General features: G+C 53.1%; 1 protein-coding gene across 16 annotated transcripts in view, besides 4 other annotated features; it reads right to left on the bottom strand.

Moving 5' to 3' along the window:
* The window catches only part of NIBAN3 (niban apoptosis regulator 3), a 32,237-nt gene that overhangs the window by 8,490 nt on the left and 4,249 nt on the right, over nucleotides 1–19,498 (bottom strand). For 7 of the 16 annotated variants that reach the window (NM_173544.5, NM_001098524.2, XM_011527786.3 and 4 more), the window contains 12 exons: nucleotides 16,163–16,293; nucleotides 14,660–14,785; nucleotides 13,347–13,461; nucleotides 9,505–9,672; nucleotides 7,783–7,898; nucleotides 7,597–7,701; nucleotides 7,283–7,445; nucleotides 6,466–6,656; nucleotides 4,754–4,912; nucleotides 3,615–3,731; nucleotides 3,417–3,524; nucleotides 251–362 (listed from right to left, as the gene is read on the bottom strand). In NM_173544.5, coding sequence (NP_775815.3) covers nucleotides 251–362; nucleotides 3,417–3,524; nucleotides 3,615–3,731; nucleotides 4,754–4,912; nucleotides 6,466–6,656; nucleotides 7,283–7,445; nucleotides 7,597–7,701; nucleotides 7,783–7,898; nucleotides 9,505–9,672; nucleotides 13,347–13,461; nucleotides 14,660–14,785; nucleotides 16,163–16,293 — 1,611 coding nt within the window. 16 annotated transcript variants of the gene reach the window in all.
* Nucleotides 704–753: a silencer, noted in NCBI's record as "silent region_10354". NCBI's record gives its function as "represses an Ori minimal core promoter by ATAC-STARR-seq in GM12878 lymphoblastoid cells {active_cell/tissue: GM12878}" and the evidence as "EXISTENCE:reporter gene assay evidence [ECO:0000049][PMID:35858748]".
* Nucleotides 6,942–7,261: a silencer, noted in NCBI's record as "silent region_10353". NCBI's record gives its function as "represses an Ori minimal core promoter by ATAC-STARR-seq in GM12878 lymphoblastoid cells {active_cell/tissue: GM12878}" and the evidence as "EXISTENCE:reporter gene assay evidence [ECO:0000049][PMID:35858748]".
* Nucleotides 7,672–7,761: a silencer, noted in NCBI's record as "silent region_10352". NCBI's record gives its function as "represses an Ori minimal core promoter by ATAC-STARR-seq in GM12878 lymphoblastoid cells {active_cell/tissue: GM12878}" and the evidence as "EXISTENCE:reporter gene assay evidence [ECO:0000049][PMID:35858748]".
* Nucleotides 15,656–16,274: an enhancer, noted in NCBI's record as "H3K27ac-H3K4me1 hESC enhancer chr19:17641583-17642201 (GRCh37/hg19 assembly coordinates)". NCBI's record gives its function as "activates a minimal SCP1, AML or CMV promoter by ChIP-STARR-seq in primed H9 embryonic stem cells {active_cell/tissue: H9 hESC(primed)}" and the evidence as "EXISTENCE:reporter gene assay evidence [ECO:0000049][PMID:30033119]".

Below are 19,498 nucleotides of genomic sequence, written 5' to 3'. Positions count from 1 at the left end.
GCCTCCTTCTTCTCATCCTGAGAACTCCTATACATCCCTCACAGCCCCAGTCCAACGGCCCTTCCTTCAGAGAGTATCCATCCCTGCCCCTCTGAGCTCCTCTACCCTGGACCTCCTCAGGCCAAGTCCTGACTTAAGGTCAAATGGCAAGTATTCACAGGAAGTGAGAGTCGATGTGGCCCTGGTGGGGCTCGGTACATACAGCCAAGGGACGCCAGGCTCCTCTGAGCCATGGCAGGGCGGGACTCACCTTGGTCAATCCTCTGCAGCAAGCACCCCCGGATGACGTCCTCATAGATGCCCTCAGTGGTCAGAGCCTGGCTGCCCACGGCAAGGACATCCCCCTCGAACTCAGGCAGCTCCTGGAACCATGGCGGGTTAGGGGCTCGGATGGAGAGGAGGGCCCCTCTAGAGGCCTACAACACAGGCTTCTGCCCTAGCCCTGGGCCTGATTAGCTGTGGGGTTGGGGGGCGGGGCTTGGGCCTTAGTTTCCTTATCTTTATTTTTAAATATTTTTATTTTAAAATAAACAGGCCGGGTGCGGTGGCTCATGCCTGTAATCCCAGCACTTTGGTTGGCTGAGGTGGGCGGATCATGAGGTCAGGAGTTCAAGACCAGCCTGACCAACATGGTGAAACCACCGTCTCTACTAAAAGTACAAAAATTAGCTGGGCGTGGTGGCGGGTTGTGGGCGGCAAGCCACCCAGGTGCTGAGGCAAGAGACCGAGGACATGAGCTGTTCCAGTATAACAAAATATAAAACAAGAATAGTTATACCAGATATAGATATTAGATATGATTATATATGAATATCATTAATGATTAGTTGGTAGCAGTTACTCTTTATTCCAATATTATAATAATCCTCACTCTACAATCATAACCTAGGAAAAACCAGGCCATACAGAGATAGGAGCTGAGGGGGCATAGTGAGGTATGACCAGAAGACAAGAGTGCGAGCCTTCTGTTATGCCCGGACAGGGCCAGCAGAAGGGCTCCTTGGTCTAGCGGTGACGCCAGCGTCTGGGAAGATGCCTGTTGCCAGGCAGACCGTGGTCTAGCGGTAGCGAAAAGTGTCAAGGAAAAACACCGGCTACTTAGCAGACCGGGAAAGGGAGTCTCCTTTTCTCCGGGGGAGTTTAGAGAAGACTCTGCTCCTCCACCTCTTGTGGAGGGCCTGATATCAGTCAGGCTTGCCCACAGTTATCCAGAGACCTAACCGTCTCCCTGTGATGCTGTGCTTCAGTGGTCTCGCTCCTAGTCCGCCTTCGTGTTCCATCCTGTACACCTGGCTCTGCCTTCTAGATAGCAGTAGTCAGTTAGTGAAAGTACTAAAAGTCTCTGATATGCAGAAATAATGGCTTAAGCTGTCTTTCTCTTTGTCTCCTCTCTCTCTCTGCCTCAGCTGCCAGGCAGGGAGGGGCCCCCTGTCCAGTGGACACATGACCCACGTGACCTTACCTATCATTGGAGATGACTCACACTCTTTACCCTGCCCCTTTTGCTTTGTATCCAATAAATAACAGCGCAGCCAGACATTCGGGGCCACTACCGGTCTCCGCAACTTGGTAGTAGTGGTCCCCCGGGCCCAGCTGTCTTTTCTTTTATCTCTTTGTCTTGTGTCTTTATTTCTACACTCTCTTGTCTCTGCACACAGGGAGAGACCCACCGACCCTGTGGGGCTGGTCCCTATAGCGGGTGCCTGTAATCCCAGCTACTTGGGAGGCTGAGATGGGAGGATCGCTTGAACCTAGGAGGTGGAGGTTGCAGTGAGCCAAGATCACACCACTGCACTACAGCCTGGGCGACAGAGTGAGACTCCGTCTAAAAATAAAATAAAATAAAATAAAATAAAATAAAATAAAATAAAATAAAATAAAATAAATAAAATAGTCTCTCTCTGTCACCCAGGCTGGACTACAGGGGTGCAGTCATGGCTCGCTGCAGCCTTGACCTCCCAGGCTCAAGCGATCCTCCCACCTCGGCCTCCCAAGTAGCTTGGACTACAGGCGTGCACCACCACATCTGGCGAATTCTTGTATTTTTTGTAGAGGTGGGGTCTCACTATCCCAAAGTGCTGCTATTACAGGCATGTGCCACCACGCCTGGCCTCAGTTTCCTTATCTTTAAAATGGACTCAGTGGCCCATATTCTCTAGTGTTGTGGAAAGGATTCATGGGATTAATTAGGCACAGCAAATCACACCTCACAGGGAATAGTATGAGTGTCTCAGCTGAGACTTCCCCAATTCCCAGCCACTTCCTCTAGAGGATTCTGTTTGTACCCATGTCAGACACCCGCCTGGTGCCCATGAGCCCTGTGTGCCTAGGTACCTAGGACTCCCGCTGACCTCCTTCCCACTCTTCCACTCACTGAGCTTCAGCCACACCCACCTTGTCACTGTTCCTCCAACACACCAGGCATGGTCAGGCCTCAGGGCCTTTGCACATGCTGTGCCCTCTGCCTGGAATGCCCTTCCCGGGACATGGCCCATGCCTTCATTTCACAGGGACATCCTTCCTGACTCCCTGGTAACTCCCCACCCAACCCTTACCCACTCTCCATCCACCTCCTCCCTCCACTGATGCCCATGTCACCAGGTGATATGCGATGTGTGGGACCCATCCCAGCTCTTCTGTGGCAGACACAGGGTAATGAACCCCGTCATAGGTGAAGCAGAGGGCATTGTGGAAGCCCAGAAAAGCCACCTGACCCAGCTCCAGGGCTCAGGGTATGGAAGTCTCTTAAAAAGAGACAGGCCCTTGCTCTGTTGCCCAGGCTGGAGTGCAGTGGTGCGATCCTAGCTCACTGCAGCCTCGACTTCCTAGGCTCAATTGATCCTCCCACCTCTTGGCCTCCAGAGTAGCTGGGACCACAGGCACATGCTGTCACGCCTGGCTAACTTCTGTATTTTTATAGAGATGGAGTTTCACTATGTTGTACAGACTGATCTCCTGGCCTCAAGCAATCCCCACACTTTGGCCTCCCAAAGTGCTAGGATTAAGGTCAAATGGTCTCTAATGATCAAAGAGCATTCTTTTTTTTTTTTTTTTTTGAGACTGAGTTTCACTCTGTCGCCCAGGCTGGAGTGCAATGGCGCGATCTCGGCTCACTGCAACCTTCCCCTCCCGGGTTCAAGCGATTTTCCTGCTTCAGCCTCCTGAGTAGCTGGAATTACAGGCGCCCATCACCATGCCTGGCTAATTTTTTGTATTTTTAGTAGAGACAGGGTTTCACTATGTTAGCCAGGCTAGTCTCGAACTCCTGACCTTGTGATCTGCCTGCCTTGGCCTCCCAAATTGCTGGGATTACAGGCATGAGCCACTGCGCCCAGCCTCAAAGAGCATTCTTGCCCACTTTAAGTGGATGCATGGTGATGCTGTCAGACCCTCTTGCACACTTCCCATTAACTCACCTTTTTGCAGCCTGGCTCGAGTTGGCTCAGCACAAAAGGTAAAAAGATGCAGAGACCCCAGCCTCGGATGAACCTCCTCTGCGCCAACCCGCTGTCCGATTTGAATTTCTGCACAACACACCCAGCGGTGCGTCCAGCAACCATCTGAGCACCCAGGCCCACTGCCACCCCATGCCACCCCGTACCCACAGAACACACCTTCAGCACGCGCCCCCTGACTCTCTCCAGCCTCTGGGCAGCCTGGTCACAGTTGAGGGCCGTCGTCAGACACTGGTCAGCCAGCTGCAGGAAGGTGGCCACGGCGTCAGCCATGAGCTGTGGGAGGAGATGCTATGATGACCCCAGAATCTGTGCTCCAGCCTCCCGGGCCCCACTCCTGCCCAGCTGACCCCTTCTCAGCATCCAACCTGTTCCAACCAGCCACCTCTGCCCAACCTCCTCCTCCTTGTCCCAGGAAACACCTTTCCCCTCCTCTCAGGACCTGGGGATTGTCTAGTCTGTGGGGGACTATGTGCAAACTGACAGAAAGCCCCTTCCCTCTGGGAGATGGTGCCAGGATGCCCAGAATGGGGAGTAGGGAGCCAGCCAGAGTTCAGCCTCCTCCACTGAGTGCTTTTGTGCAGTGCACAAACTGAACAACTGTGCCAGGTAGTGCTGGATCATCTCACTCTCTGTCTTCTTCTGTCACCATGTCCATCAGCAGGTCCCATCTCAGACTTCAAAACACTTATTGCTTCTCCCCACTGACATCCCCCATCCTGGTGCAGGCCTCCTCCCTGCCTCCTCTTTTCCTGTCCCCAACAGCCTGTGCTCCCTATGGCAGGCAAAGCTTCCTAAACCTTAAATCCAGCCATGCCCTCCCCCTGCTCACATACCTGCTCTGGCTCCCCATTGCCCTCAGGAAAGAGCTCACCCCTTAGCCCCACGCTCAAGGCACTGCGCGATCTGCCCGTCCATGTCGCCGGCCTATCTTCCCCATTTCTGAAAAATTGCTCCACGTTCCCCAAATGCAGACAAGCACTCTCAACACTATTCACTCGGGACTGGTGGCAACGCCATTCCTCCCATTGCTCTCCCATGTTGGAAGTCCCCTCCTCCTGAAAGTCCTGTCAACCCCAGAGGTGGATCAGGAACATCCTTGGCGCTCCCTGTACACCCTGCCCCAGCTCTGTCCACCACATGTGGCTGCTGCCTGGTCACGGGCTCATGTCCCCATGAGACTGGCAGCCCCGCGGAGTTGTCTCGATCATCGTGGTCTCTCCAGGGCACACTTAGCAGGAGGTCAGTGGAGGCTGTCTTCACAGCCTGGCCTCATCCCAGCCTCCTCTCACCCTCACCTGCTGTGCAAGATCTTGGGCCCCAAACACGAGGCTCTGCATCCCCAGAAAGCCAAACGGTGCTGCCAGCTGCCCCAAGCGCCCCCGGCTCCGCTCGGCCTCACGGTAGCATGTCTGCATCAGCGCCAAGTCCCACGGCATCTCCCCAAATGAGTAAACCTGTGCTCCCGGAAGCAGTTTTGGGGGAAAAATGCTGTCAGCTGATTGCAAAGGGCCAGGGACCCCATTACCAATTCACCAAAGGAGAAACACAAATGAAAATACATCCCGTCTCAGCTGTCACCAAAGAAACTCATAATACAATAGTGGTGGGCCAGGCATGGTGGCTCACACCTGTAGTCCCATCAGTTTGGGAGGCCGAGGTGGGTGGATCACTTGAGGTGAGGAGTTCGATACCAGCCTGGCCAGCATGGTGAAACCCTGTCTCAACTAAAAATACAAAAATTAGCTAGGTGTAGTGGCACACACCTGTACTCCCAGCTACTTGGGAGGCTGAGGCATGAGAATTGCTTGAACCCAGGAGGTTGCAGTGAGCCAAGATCGCACCACTGCACTTCAGCCTGGGCGGCAAAATGAGACTCTGTCTCAAAAATAAAATAAAATAAAATAAAATAAAATAAAATAAAATAAAATAAAATAAAATAAAATAAGTAGCAGTGAGGCACGGTGTCATGGACATAAAATGATAAAACCTGAAAAAACTATAACAAGCGATGCTGGCACAATTGAGAGGAAATGAGCACATTTCCTGGCCCAGATCTGTGAATACCATCTCATGTTCTGTCTGTGCTGGGCCCTGGGGCTGCAGAAATGGAATACTCTAACCCAGTCTCTGCTTACAAATTAGGGGAGACAGAGTATAGAAATCACCCACAGTGGTATGAAAGTCAGGCTGTGATAAGAGAAGCACAGGCTACTGCAAGACATAGAGGGGACCAGGGACAGTTCCTGGAGAAGGTGATTAGGAAATGGAGGCTTAAGAATGAGTTGAAGGTTGCCTGGTACATAGTAGGTGCTATTCTATGTATGTATGTATGTATGTATGTATGTATGTATGTATGTATATATGTATGTATGTATTTTAGGTGCTACTTGTATATCAGATGCACTGAGGTGACCTGCCTTGAGCAGAATTCTCTGGGTTGTTGCCCTACAGGGGAATGGGAGGAGGAGTTTGGGGGATGACCTCAGACTGATTTTGCTAAATTGCCACTTTTCTCATCCAACTCCTTTCCCCTCACGTTTTAAACTGTGTTCCATGGCCAGTGCGGTGGCTCAAGCCTGTAATCCCAGCACTTTGGGAGGCCAATGCAGGCAGATCGCTTGAGCCCAGGAGTTTGAGACCAGCCTGGGCAACAAAGCAAGACCCCCATCTCTACAAAAAAATTAAAAAATTAGCTGGGCTTGGTGGCGTGCGCCTGTATTTCCAGCTACTTGGGATGCTAAAGTAAGAGGATTGATTAAGCCCGGGAGGTCGAGGCTGCAGTGAGTTAAGATTGTGCCACTACACTTCAGCCAGGGTGACAGAGCGACACCCCTGTCTCAAAAACAAAAAACAAACAAAAACTGTGCTCCACTGACCATAGCATGGTGATGGGTCCACAATAAGTAAAAAGCAGCCTAGAACAAATTCAGTGAAGATTCTCCACAGGAAAGACTCAAGTTAACACATCACCCTCTGGCTCACTGAACCCCTACCCACGGGAGCTCACCTCCCTGCGCAGCCGCGTGCCTGAGGGGCTCTGGCGCAGGCGGTGGGACAGTCGGTCCATGCCTTGAGCCAGGAGGGTCCGCACCGCCTCGAGCGAGGCTTCCACGGTGCGCAGCAGGGTCTGCACGACCCGGGGCAGCTGCGGGTCCACCTCCCGGCGCAGGCACGACTCGAGCGGTCCCCTGATATCCGCTGGGAGTGGAAGACACTGGTCTGGAGTCCCCTCCGCAAGGTGCCTCACAGATGGGGATGTGCAGGGGCCCTCGCGAGGGGGACGCGAGCAGGGACGCTGAGCGCCCTCTTCTACCCATTGTAATGATGAGAAAACTGAGCCTCGGAGGGGCGGGCCCAGTCAGGATTCCCACCTGGGTCTTTGTAGGGGCCACCTTGGCCCACCGCTGCCCATGTATCAGCCTTTACCCCCGCCCCTCCTCCGCTGTTCTACTTCCCAGGCCCGCCCACCCGCATTGGCCCGGCTCTGGGCCTCAACTCCTCGAGCCTCAGCCTCAAGGCCACGCCTATCCCCCGCTGAGGCCCCGCCCTTTTTGTATCCAAGCAGCCCCCTTAGGACCTGGTTTCCTCCGGACAGACTCTAGGCCCCGCCCCCAGTGCCTCGACCACAAGACCACGCCCACCGCCTCGCTTTGGCCCCGCCCCTTCCCCACCCGTTCCCTTGCACATCCTATGCTTGGCCCCGCCCCTCTCTGACCACGCCCCCATTTTACATAACTTCAAGCCCATTCTTCGCTTAGGTCACGCCCCTTTTTCCCCAGCATCGCCTCGCCCCTCCCAGCCCAGGCTCCGCCCCAGGGCCTCACTCCTCAGCCGCCCCGCCACACGCGCCCGCTGCCGCAGCAGCTGGTCCACGTCCGGGCGGATCGTCTTCTCCAGCGACGCAAGCAGCTCGTCCTTTTCGGGCTGGAAGGCGCAGAGCCCGGCGGAGGCCCCGGCCAGGACAGCTGCGTGAACGGCGTCTAGAAGCTGCCCAGACCGGTCGAGGGGGGACAAAGCCGAGACACGGGGCGGGGATGGGGGTCAGAGAGATCGGGAGAGGGTTTAGGCGACAGTCGTGGGAGGGGAACCCGAACGCCCGCATCCCGCCCCCTATCCCGGATCCGGACGCCGTGCATACCTCGGTCCAGGCCCAGGCGCGGGCGCGGCCTGCCCCCCGCAGGCCAGGAAGGGTCTGGGCTCGCAGCGCGGGAAGTTGCTCCCGCATCAGCACCGCGGTCAGCACCTGCAGGAGAGGGGGCCATGGGCGCCGCGGTCGGCCGGGAGGGTCCTGGGGGTCCCGGGTGCGGCCTCGCGGGGCACTAACCTCGGCGTCTGAGCCTAGGGTCACGTCGTCGTCGCCAAAGTGGCCTTGGTGCTGCCGGTAGAGTCGGACGGCGTCCAGGAAGGCCCGGGCAGCAGGGGCCTGGCTTCGCTGCAGGACTGAGAGGGGCTGCTCCTCAGTGCCTGCTGGTAGCTCCCCTGCCTGGCTCCCGATGGCCCGGGGAGGAAGCCCTCCGCCTGGCCAGGTCCCCAACACCCAAGTCTCACCCATCTCTGGAACTTTGCATAGGCAATGCCCTCCACAGGGAACACAGTCCCCCAAGACCATCATGTTTATTCAACTTAGAAGGAACCCTCTACTGGCAGCCACAGCCCCGTGACCAGCAGTTCAGGCCATACATACTGCAGCCACTAGCTGTTCCTCTAGTTGCATCGTTTGTGCAGTCAACAACCTGCCCAACTGTGTGTGTCAGTCCTGCTGCTCCCCTACTTTTTTCTTTCTCTCTTTCCCTTCCTCCCTTTCTTCCTTCCTTTCCCTCCCTCCCTCTCTTTCTTTCTTTCTCTTTCTTTCTTTCTTGCTTTCTTTCTTCTTTCTTTCTCCTTTCTTTTCTTTTTCTTTCCTTTCTTTTTCCTTCTTTTCTTTCTTCTGTTCTCTTCTCTCCTCTTTTCTTTTCTTTTCTCTCTCTTTCTCAGGGGGTCTCTCTGTTGCTCAGGCTGAAGTGCGGTAGCATGATCATTGCTTACTGCAGCCTCCAAGTCCTGGGCTCAAGTGATCCTCCCACCTAAGCCTCCTGAGTAGCTGAGACCACAAGCTCATGCCACCACGCCACTGTGCCTGACCTATTCCCCTTCTTCATCTGGCTGGCCCCTCATCTTTTTTTTTTTTTTTTTTTAAGACAGAGTCTCACTCTGTTGCCCAGGCTGGAGTGCAGTGGCACCATCTCGGCTTACTGCAAGCTCCACCTCCTGGGTTCATGCCATTCTCCTGCCTCAGCCTCCCGAGTAGCTGGGACTACAGGCGCCTGCCACCACGCTCGGCTAATTTTTTGTATTTTTAGTAGAGATGGGGTTTCACCGTGTTAGCGAGGATGGTCTCAATCTCCTGACCTCGTGATCCTCCCGCCTCGGCCTCCCAAAGTGCTGGGATTACAGGTGTGAGCCACCGCGCCCAGCGGCTAGTCCTTCATCTTTTACAGACCCCAGCTTCCCCTCATCTGGGAAGCCTGCTCTAACCCCCATCCCTCAGGCTGAGCTCCCATAGCACCCTGTGTGTCTCTGTTACAGCCCTAGTCACTCACAACTGCCTGGTGTCCCTTCTGGCTCCCCCAACAACCCATTTTCTTCTCGTGTGTGTGTGTGTGTGTGATGGAGTTTTGCTCTTGTTGCCCAGGCTGGAGTGCAGTGCCGCGATCTTGGCTCACTGCAACCTCCACCTCCCGGGTTCAAGTGATTCTCCTGCCTCAGCCTCCCGAGTGGCTGGGATTACAGGTGCCTTCCACCATGCCCAGCTAATTTTTGTATTTTTAGTAGAGACAGGATTTCGCCATGTTGTCCAGGCTGGTCTCGAACTCCTGACATTGGGTGATCTGCCTGCCTCGGCCTCCCAAAATGCTAGAATTACAGGCATGAACCACCACACCTGGCCTAAAAACCCATTTTCTGGGTAAAGAAAGTGAGGCCTGGAGAGGTCCCGAGCCAACAGAGGCTGAGCCATCTGACCCCAGACCATTAGCCCCACAAATGTCTGACCCGTCCTGAGACCCACCTATGCCCTGAAGCCGGATGCCACCCTGCAGGGCCAGCCTCCAGGCATGCTGTGCCTCCCTGGTGGCTGCAGAGAAGCAGAGGTGCCGGCGGAAGGGGTGCTGCAGGAACAGCGGGAAGCTCACAGGCACTTCCAAGAGGGAGTCAGGCTCTTCCTGAGTATGGTCTCCTGAAAACAAACAGGAGGTCGCATCTTCTAGACGTTCATTCACTAGGAGAAAATACCCCTGAAATGCATACAGCAGTCCCTGGCATGGGCAGTTGCTCGATAAATATGAGTCATACCACGATACTTGCCACCATCCTTATTCCAACAGCACTGGGTGGGGCACAGTTTTGGGGGAGGCAGGGTCACCTTCTTCCACTGCATGCCCAAGGCAGACATCACCAATCCATCCCAGAACTGTTTTCCAGCCTTAGCATCCTTAATACAGTCCTCCTGGCAGCCACCACCAATCCATTCAAGCTGGGATGTTATCTGAGTCGTCCGGCTTTATGTGGGGTTTTGGAGTCAGTCAGACCCGGGTTCCAACCTGACCAAACCACTTTCATTTTCTTTCTTTTTTTAACAAAAGGGACAGGGTCTCACTATGTTACCCAGGCTGGTCTTGAACTCCTGAGCTCAAGCGATCTGCCTGCCTCAGCCTCCCAAAGTACTAGGATTACAGGTGTGAGCCATTGTGCCCAGCCTGGCCAAGCTACTTTCTAGCTCTATGACTAGGGCACACAGCTCTATGAGCTGTGATTTTCCTGCCCAAATGGGGTTAACAGTGATACCGATGACCTAGAATTATTGACAAGACAAAATAAGTGAATTCAGCTTTGGTTAATTTATTTGGGGACCAGCCGCGGTGGCTCATGCCTGTAATCCCAGCACCTTTGGAGGCTGAAGTGGGAGGATCCCTTGGGCCCAGGAGTTCCAGACCAGCCTGCACAAGATATTTTTTATTAAAAACATAAGTATATGAAAAGAAATATTTAGGGTATCCTGTCTCCAGTGTTTTGTTCCACTTTCCAGGATGATAAACACAGACTGCGATAAAACCCAACAATCCAGGCCAGGCGAGGTGGGTCATGCCTGTAATCCCAGCACTTTGGGAGCCTGAGGCAGGCGGATCACGTGAGGTCAGGAGTTCGAGACCAGCCTGGCCAACGTGGTGAAACCCCGTCTCTACTAAAACACAAAATTTACAGGGTGTGGTGGCAGGTGCCTATGGTCTCAGCTACTCAGGAGGTTGAGGCAGGAGGATCACTTGAGCCTGGGAGGCGGAGGTTGCAGTGAGCAGAGATCATGCCACTGCACTTGAGCCTGGGAGACAGAGCAAGAGCAAGACTCTGTCCAAAAACAAAAAGAAGAAGAAAAGAAAAGGAAATCAATAGTCCAGAAGGTGGAAGCTCCTGATCATCTCAGTCTTCCAGCCTCAGCCCCCAGAGACGATAATGACTGTTAATAGTTTAGGGGACATTTCTCCAGATTCTAAAATCTGCGTGAAACTGTGTGAGGTGCATATCTGTGACAAGATGGGATTTTCTGCCTTGGAACTGGTCATTTTGCTCCTTGATACGTCTGGGACACTTTCAGTGGCTAAGTTTTGCTTTCTTTTATTTATTGTTTTTAAATTTTAATTTATTTTTATTTCAGAGATGGAGTCTTCCTCTGCTGCCCAGGCTGGAATACAGTGGTGTGATCATAGCTCACGGTGGCCTCAAACTCCTAGGCTCGAGTGATCCTCCCACTTTGGCCTCTCAAAGTGCTGAGACTGCAGGCGTGAGCCACCTGGCTTTTTTTTTTTTTTTTTGACAGAGTCTTGCTCTGTCTCCCATGCTGGAGTAAAGTGGCGCTGTCTTGGCTCACTATAACCTCTGCCTCCCAGGTTCAAGCAATTCTCCTGCCTCGGTCTCCTGAGTAGCTGGGATTATAGGCGTGTGCCACCACGCTCGGCTAATTTTTGTATTTTTAGTAGAGGTGGGGTTTCGCCATGTTGGCCAGGCTGGGACCTCAGGTGATCTGCCCGCCTTGGCCTCCCAAAGTGCTGGGATTACAGGCATGAGCCACCGCACCCAGGTTTTTATTTATTTATTTATTTATTTAAATAGAGACAGCTCCTGGCTCTGTTGCCCAGGCTGCTGGAGTTCAATGGTGTGATCATAGTTCACAGCAGCCCCTAACTCCTGGGCTCAAGTGATCCTCCCGCCTCTGCCTTCTGAGTAGCTGGGACTACCGGCACATGCCACCACACCTAGGTAATTTTATTTTTTAAAATGTTTGTGGAGATGGGGGTCTCACTATGTTACCCAGGCTGGTCTGGAACTCCTGGCCTCAGGGGATCCTCCTGTCTCTGCCTCCCAAGTACCTGGGACTACAGGCATATGCCGCCACAGCCAGCTCACTGTTCATTACCAAGGGCCAGGCCATAATATATTTAATCAACCCTCAAGAGATGGGTATTTGGGCAGATTCTGATGTTTTGAGCAGCATCAACATCTCAGCAGACTACATTTTTGTGTCCTTTGACAGCAAGATAGCTTTTAGGTGAAGCAGAGGGTGCAATTCTAGCTCTGCCCTTGACTGTGTGACAATCCTCAGCCTCAATGTCCTTATCTGTGAAATGGGGTAGTTAGTGATGGGCCTGCCTGCTGGGCAGACTTTATGAGATAGTGCAAGCCCAATGCTGAGTTATTTGCCAGGCACATGCCTGGAATTGGAATTGTTCCTTCTCTAATTTCTTTTCTTTTCTTTTTTTTTTTTTTTTTGAGATGGAGTCTTGCTCTGTCACCCTGGCTGGAGTGCAGTGGCGCGATCTCGGCTCACTGCAAGCTCTGCCTCCCGGGTTCACGCCATTCTCCTGCCTCAGCCTCCTGAGTAGTTGGGACTACAGGTGCCCGCCACCACAACTGGCTAATTTTTTGTATTTTTAGTAGAGATGGGGTTTCACCATGTTAGCCAGGATGGTCTTGATCTCCTGACTTCATGATCTGCCCGCCTCAGCCTCCCAAAGTGCTGGGATTACAGGCGTGAGCCACCACGCCCGGCCTACCTTTTGTATTTTTAGTAGAGACAGGGTTTCACCATATTGGTCAGGCTGGCCTCATGAGGTCTCCTCCTGACCTCAGGTGATCCACCTGCCTTGGTCCCCCAAAGTGCTCGGATTACAGGCGCATGTCATTACACCGGCTAATTTTTGTATTTTTAGTAGAGACGAGGTTTCACCACGTTGGCCAGGCTAGTCTCGAACTCCTGACCTCAAGTGATCCGCCCACCTCGGCCTCCCAAAGTGGTGGGATTATAGGCATGAGCCACCGTGCCCAGCCTATTGTTTTTAATTGTTTTTGTTGTTGTTTTTGGAGATGGGGTTTCAGTCTATTGCCCAGGCTGGAGTGCAGTGGGGCAATCTCGGCTCACTGCCACCACCTCCCAGGCTTAAGCGATCCTCCCGCCTCAGCCTCCCGAGTAGCTGGGACTACAGGCATGAGACAGTGCACCCATCCCAGATTTTACTGTTTTTATCCTTTGCTATTCTGATTCTGGTCCCATGACCTAACTCTCCCCCTCACCCTTGCAAGAGTGGGTGTTTGTTTGTTTGTTTGTTTGTTTGTTTTCCAGAGTAGGGATGCTCACCCGTAGCAACGCTGCCCCCGGGAGACACTTGGCAATGCTGGAGACATTGGTGGTTGTCGCACCCAGGGTGGGGGCTGCTGCAGGCAGGGAGTGGGTGGAAGCCAGGGATGCTGCTTACTGCCCTGCTGTACACGGGACGCCCCCACCGCAGAGAATGATCTGGCCCCACATGTTAATGATGCTGGGGTGGAGAAACCTGTTCCTGGGAACCCCGGGACCCTTACCCAAGGATTCAGGGCAGAGAGCATCCAAAAGGCGGAGATATTCTCGCTGGGAAGTCAGGAGCGTGTATCCTGTCAGGGCTGTTGAGCCAAGGCAGTGGCCCCCGTTTTCATATTCCTACAAAAGGTACCCAGAGAACCAACCTGGGACAGGTCTGAACTGTGGCTTCTGTGTCCCAACTATACCATCAAGGGAAGATTTCAGATGAGCTGAAAAATCCTCTGCCCCTCCCACCCCTCCCTCCCTCTCCTTTCCTCCATTCCTCCCTCTCTCTTTTTTTTTTTTTTTGTTTTTGAGACAGAGTCTCACTCTGTCACCCAGGCTGGAGTGCGATGGCGCGATCTCAGCTCACCGCAACCTCCACCTCCCAAGTTCAAGTGATTCTTCCACCTCAGCCTCCCGAGTAGCTGGGATTACAGGCACCCGCCACCACAGCAGGCTAATTTTTGTATTTTTAATTGAGACGGGGTTTCGCCATGTTGCCCAGGCTGGTCTTGAACTCCTGACCTCAGGTGATCCACTTGCCTTGGTCTCCCAAAGTGTTGGCATTACAGGCCTGAGCCACCGTGCCTGGCCCTAGGTTTTGTATTTTTAGTAGAGACGGAGTTTCACCATGTTGGCCAGGCTGTTCTTGAACTCCTGGGCTGAAGGGATCTATTTGCCTCAGCCTCCCAAAGGGCTGGGATTATAGGCGTGAGCCACGAGGCCCGGCTCTCCCTCCCTTTTTTTTTCCTCCTCTCTCCCTCCATCCATCCTACCTCTGCCCCCATAACTTTCTCCCTTCCTCCCTCCTGTTCTTGCCCTCTCTCTCCCTCCTTCCCTTTCCCCTTTCCCTCCCTTCCTCCCTCAGTCCCTGAGCTCCCAGCACCCACGGGCTCCCCACGTGCCGGTCCGGTCCCAAGTGCTGTCTGAGGACCCTCTTGTTGAACCCTCAAAGCCCTACATGGTGTGAAACATCCCATTTCACAGAAGTGGAAACTGAGTTTCAGAAAGGTAGTGATCGCTCCAAGCTCCCCAGCCAGAAAGCAGAGCGGCCAGAGGTGTGACTTGCAAAGGCCCCAAGAGGTTGAAACCACAGCTCTGATACTGACCACGACCCTATCCCTGGCCTGGGCCTCAGTTTACCCACCCAGCACAGCAGGGGATGGGACGAGATGGTTGCCTACAACAGGCCAAACACATAGGGGCACAAGATTCATCCTGGGTGATTGATAGAGGTGGGGCTATGCTGAGATATGGATCCCACAAACCTTGAGGCTGACGGGGGTGGGAAGGAGGGACCCAGAAGTAGAAAGGCCACGTGCCAATCACGCACCTCCTTGTGGCTGAACCACTCTAGGCGGCCGTCCCCACGCAGAACACAGAAGATCGGCTGCCACCGGGGTGGGTGGCCCCGAAGCTGGGTCAGGGGTCCTCGGTGCTCACGGACTCGGGGCAGCTTCTGCAGAAAGAGGGAGCAGTGGGTGTCAGGGGGCTGTGGGCTGATGTCCCTGTGGCCCGACCACCCAGACACCCGCTGTATCCTGGGGTGACGCTAAGGTCCCGTGATGCCCCAGGCTGGACAGAGAGAGTCCTAGGCAGGAAGGGGCTCTGTGTCCACAGCTCCTGGAGCCCCCCGCCCTGGGTGGGCACAGCTGGGAAGTGGGGCATTCCGGAGAGGCAAAAAATCTCAGCCCCAACTGGAGCGTGGGACCAAGCATTAGTAATAAGCGTGGATCCCAGGTTGAAATCACACCTCTGTAGTGTGACCTCGAGAAGGCCATTTGGCCTCTCTGTGCCTCAGTTTCCTCATCAGTCAAAGACCTGTCTACCAAAGGGGTGAAGACTGAGTGAGGTGTGTGGGGCACACAACCTCATGGCTCCAGAGATGTCTGGAGGCCAGGCGCTCACGCTTGTAATCCCAGCACTTTGGGAGGCCAAGGTGGGGAGATCACTTGAGGTCAGGAGTTCGAGATCAGCCTGGCCAACATGGTGAAACCCCGTCTCTACCAAAAATACAAAAATTACCCAGGCATGGTGGCGGGCGCCTGTGGTCCCAGCTACTCGGGAGGCTGAGGCACGAGAATCGCTTGAACCTGGGAGGTGGAGGTGGCAGTGAGCTAAGATTGCGCCACTGAACTACAGCCTGGGCAAGAGAGCAAAACTCCATCTAAAAGAAAATGTTACTCCATTCCACATCATGATATGCTAACTTGTTTGGAGTCTTCTACCTCCCATCAGGTTGTGAACCCCAGAGGTTACCGCAGGATCTGTCCTTGTCACTGGACAAGGGCTGTGTGTCCTCATGCCCAGCCCATGATGTGGCATGAATTACATGCTCAGTGAATGGTTGTGTGTGTGTGTGTGTGTGTGTGTGTGTGTGTGTGTGTGTGTGTGTTTGACAGAGTCTAGCTCTGTTGCCTAGGCTGGAATGCAGTGGCACAATCTGGGCTCACTGCAATCTCCACCTCCCAGGTTCAAACGATTCTCCTGCCTCAGCCTCCCAAGTAGCTGGGACTACAGGTGCGCGCTACAGGGTCTGGCTAAATTTTTTTTTGTATTTTTAGTAGAGATGGGGTTTCGGGGTTTCACCATGTTGGCGAGGCTGGTCTTGAACTCTTGACCTCTGGTGATCCGCCTGCCTTGGCCTCCCAAAGTGCTGGGATTACAGACGGGAGCCACCTTGCTTGGCTGCTCAGTGAATGTTTATTTAAACAATGCATATTTAAAGTCATCCTATGGCAATGGCAAAGGTCTGAGGTTGGAAGCATGGCCTAGGGAGGGCTCCTCCAGGACCCTCCCCTAACACTCAAACGTCCTCTGCCCCCACAACACCCACTTTGCTGCGTAGCAACTGGCTTCCGGTCGGCTCCTGAGGGCCCAGCTCTCGAGAGATCTGCCGCAGGACAGACGCTGCCAGCTGCCCACGGTAGCAAGGCAGGAAGTTCCTCAGCAGGGTGTCCACCTGACCTGCAGGGACAAGGGGACAGTGAACCCAGCAAATTGAATCTGCCCAGGAGACCTGCTTGGGGAGGGCAAAACAGACAGGGAAGCCACCTGGGGGCTCCTGTAGTCATCCTGAGCTTCCAGACAAGTTGTCACCAAATTTCATTCATCCTTCACCCTCCATGCCTGTTTCCATCCATGTGGCTGGGTGAGGGAGCTTCTTTTTTTTTTTTTTTTTTTTTTTTTTGAGATGGAGTCTTGCTCCGTTGCCAGGCTGAAGTGCAGTGGCACGATCTCAGCTCACTGCAACCTCTGCCTCCTGGGTTCAAGCAATTCTCCCGCCTCAGCCTCTCGAGTAGCTGGGACTACAGGCGCACGCCATCATGCTGGGCTAATTTTTGTATTTTTTAGTAGAGACGGGTTTTTTGTTTTGTTTTGTTTTGTTTTTTGTTTTTTGTTTTGATGGAGTCTCACTCTGTTGTCAGGCTGGAGTGCGCTGGCACGATCACAGCTCACTGCAACCTCTACTTCCTGGGCTCAGGTGATTCTCCCATCTCAGCCTCCCAAGTAGCTGGGACTACAGAGACTACAGGCTTCTGCCACCACGACTGACTAATTTTTCTATTTTTAGTAGAGACGAGGTTTCGCCATGTTGCTCAGGCTGGTCTTGAACTCCTGAGCTCCAGTGATCCACTTGTCTTGCACTTTTTTTTCTTTTTTTTGAGACAGGGTGTCTGTCCCCCAGGCTGGAGTGCAGTGGTGCAATCTCAGCTCACTGCAGCCTTGACCTCCTGGGCTCAAGTGATCCTCCCACCTCAGCCCCACTCCAGTAGCTGGGATCATGTGCACGTGCCACCATGCCCAGCTAATTTTTTTATTTTTGTAGAGACAAGGTCTTGCTATGTTATCCAGGCTGGTCTCAAACTCCTGGCCTCAAGCAATCCTCCCACCTTGGTTTCTCAAAGCGCTGGGAATACAGATTGAGCCACACCTTCACTTATAGCTCACGTATCATGTAAGCATATGGTTTGCTGAGCTTTGACACAATCACACATCCGTGAAACCCTCACCACAATCAAGATGAGCGGATCCATCACACCCAAAAGTGTCCCCATATGCTTTACCTGGGGAGCTTTTCAAAAGCTTTTAAAGCTCCAAAGCACACAAGTGAACTTTCTGTGAGTGATGGAGGTGTGCTGTATCCTGATCTATCTGGGAAGTAGTCATATGGGTGATGGGTGACTAGCTCTTTGAGCTGTTGCCCTAAGGCTTGTACACTTGACTGTAAATAAAACATAGTTCCATTCTGCTGCCCGGAATGTGGACCCAATGGCTGGAGCTCCAGCAGCCATTCTGTGCCATGAGGCTACCTTGGGCACAGGAATCCACACATGGCAGAGCCATGAGATGAAAGGACTTTAGGTGTCTAACTTTTACTAGCCTGCCTGCTTCCACACCTCTCAGTTTGAGGAGAAAAAAAAAAAATCCTTATCTTGTTTAAGCCACTATCTGGGGGAAAAAAATCCCAGTGCTACATAGAGTAACTCTTTGAATCCTTACAATGCCCCCCCAGCCCCATGAGCTAGGCGTTGTTGCTATCCCCATTTTACATATAAGAGAATGAAGCCCAGGGAGGTGAAGTCACTCACCAAAGGGCACACAGCAAATGAGGGAATGACCAGGGTGTGAACGTGAATTGTTTGTTTGCAAGATACATCACTGGCCTTAGCACATGCTGTTTCTCCTGTCCAAAATGCTCTTCTGGTATCTCCTTCCTTCCAACACCATCACATCCCTCCAGCCCTGGCTTGATCATTGTCTCCTCAGTGGGCAGTCATCCACCTCTGCTCTTCCCTACCCTCAAGGAACATGTGAGCTCTCTCCCATCATTCTCACCATGCAATTTTGGGTCATGACTTGACCCAAAAACCAAAAAAACACTCTTCCATGCTGCTGCATGGAATGTAGACCCAATGGCTGGAGCTCCAGCAGCCGTTCTGTGCCATGAGGTCACCTTGGGCACAGAAGCCCCACATAGCAGAGCCACCAGAGGGAAGGTGTTTAGACCATGAGCCTGTGAGGGTAAGGCCAATACCAACCCCACAATGTCCCCAGCGCCCAGCACAGTTGCTCACCCCACATATGAGGACAGAGGGACCCGAATGGCACTGAATCTGGCACTGGCCCCTCTTAGTCTCAAATTGGGAACTGAGCCTCCATCCCCAGGGTCCTACCGAGGGGCCTGCTGGTCCCTGCCCGCTCAGGAAGACATCCCTCAGGGCCTGGCTGGGTCTGGGACACCCTCCACTTGGCCCTATGCCTCCCACCTGAACCCCTGCCCTAAATCAGGTCACTAGATTTACCAAATAAAAATAGAAGACACAGTCTTCTGGGCACAGTGGCTCACACCTGTAATCCCAGCACTTTGGGAGGCTGAGGTGAGCAGATCACCTGAGATCAGGAGTTCGAGACCAACCTGGCCAAAATGGTGAAACCCCATCTCTACTAAAAATACAAAAATTAGTCAGGCATGGTGGCACATGCTTGTAATCCCAGCTACTCGGGAGGCTGAAGCAGGAGAATAGCTTGAATCCTGGAGGCGGAGGTTGCAGTGAGCCAAGATTGCGCCACTGCACTCTAGCCTGGGCAACAGAGGGAGACTCCATCTCAAAAAACAAAACAAAACAAAACAAACAAAAAAAAAACCATAAAGGGGTAATTGGTTTTCAGCATAAGTGTGCACTATGCAAAATCTGGGATACACTTATACTAAAAATAAGATGCAGGCTGGACACAGTGGCTCCCGCCTGTAATCCCAGCACTTTGGGAGGTTGATGTGGGAGGATCGCTTGAGCTCAGGAGTTCAAGACCAGCCTGGGCAACATAGTGAGACCCTGTCGCTACGAAAACAAATAAAAAATTAGCCAGGTGTGGTGGTGCACGCCTGTGGTCCCAGCTATTCGGGCTGAGGCGGGAGGATCGCTTGAGCCCACAAGTTCAAAAGCAAACTGGCCAACATAGGGACACCCTGTCTCTATTAAAAAAAAAAACAACCAATGAAATAATTAGTTGGGCATGGTGGTACATGCATGTGGTCCCAGCTACTTGGGAGGTTAAGGCGGGAGAATTGCTTGAGCCCAGGAGGCCAAGGTTGCAGTGAGCCACGATCATACCACGGCACTCCAGCTTGGGCAACAGACAAGATCCTGTCTCAACAATAAAAAAAGAT

This window comes from Homo sapiens, chromosome 19 (assembly GCF_000001405.40).
Source record: "Homo sapiens chromosome 19, GRCh38.p14 Primary Assembly".
NCBI classification, from domain to species: domain Eukaryota; kingdom Metazoa; phylum Chordata; class Mammalia; order Primates; family Hominidae; genus Homo; species Homo sapiens.
The sequence above is the reverse complement of the archived record's forward strand: the minus strand, read 5'-3'. Positions and strand labels throughout refer to the sequence as shown.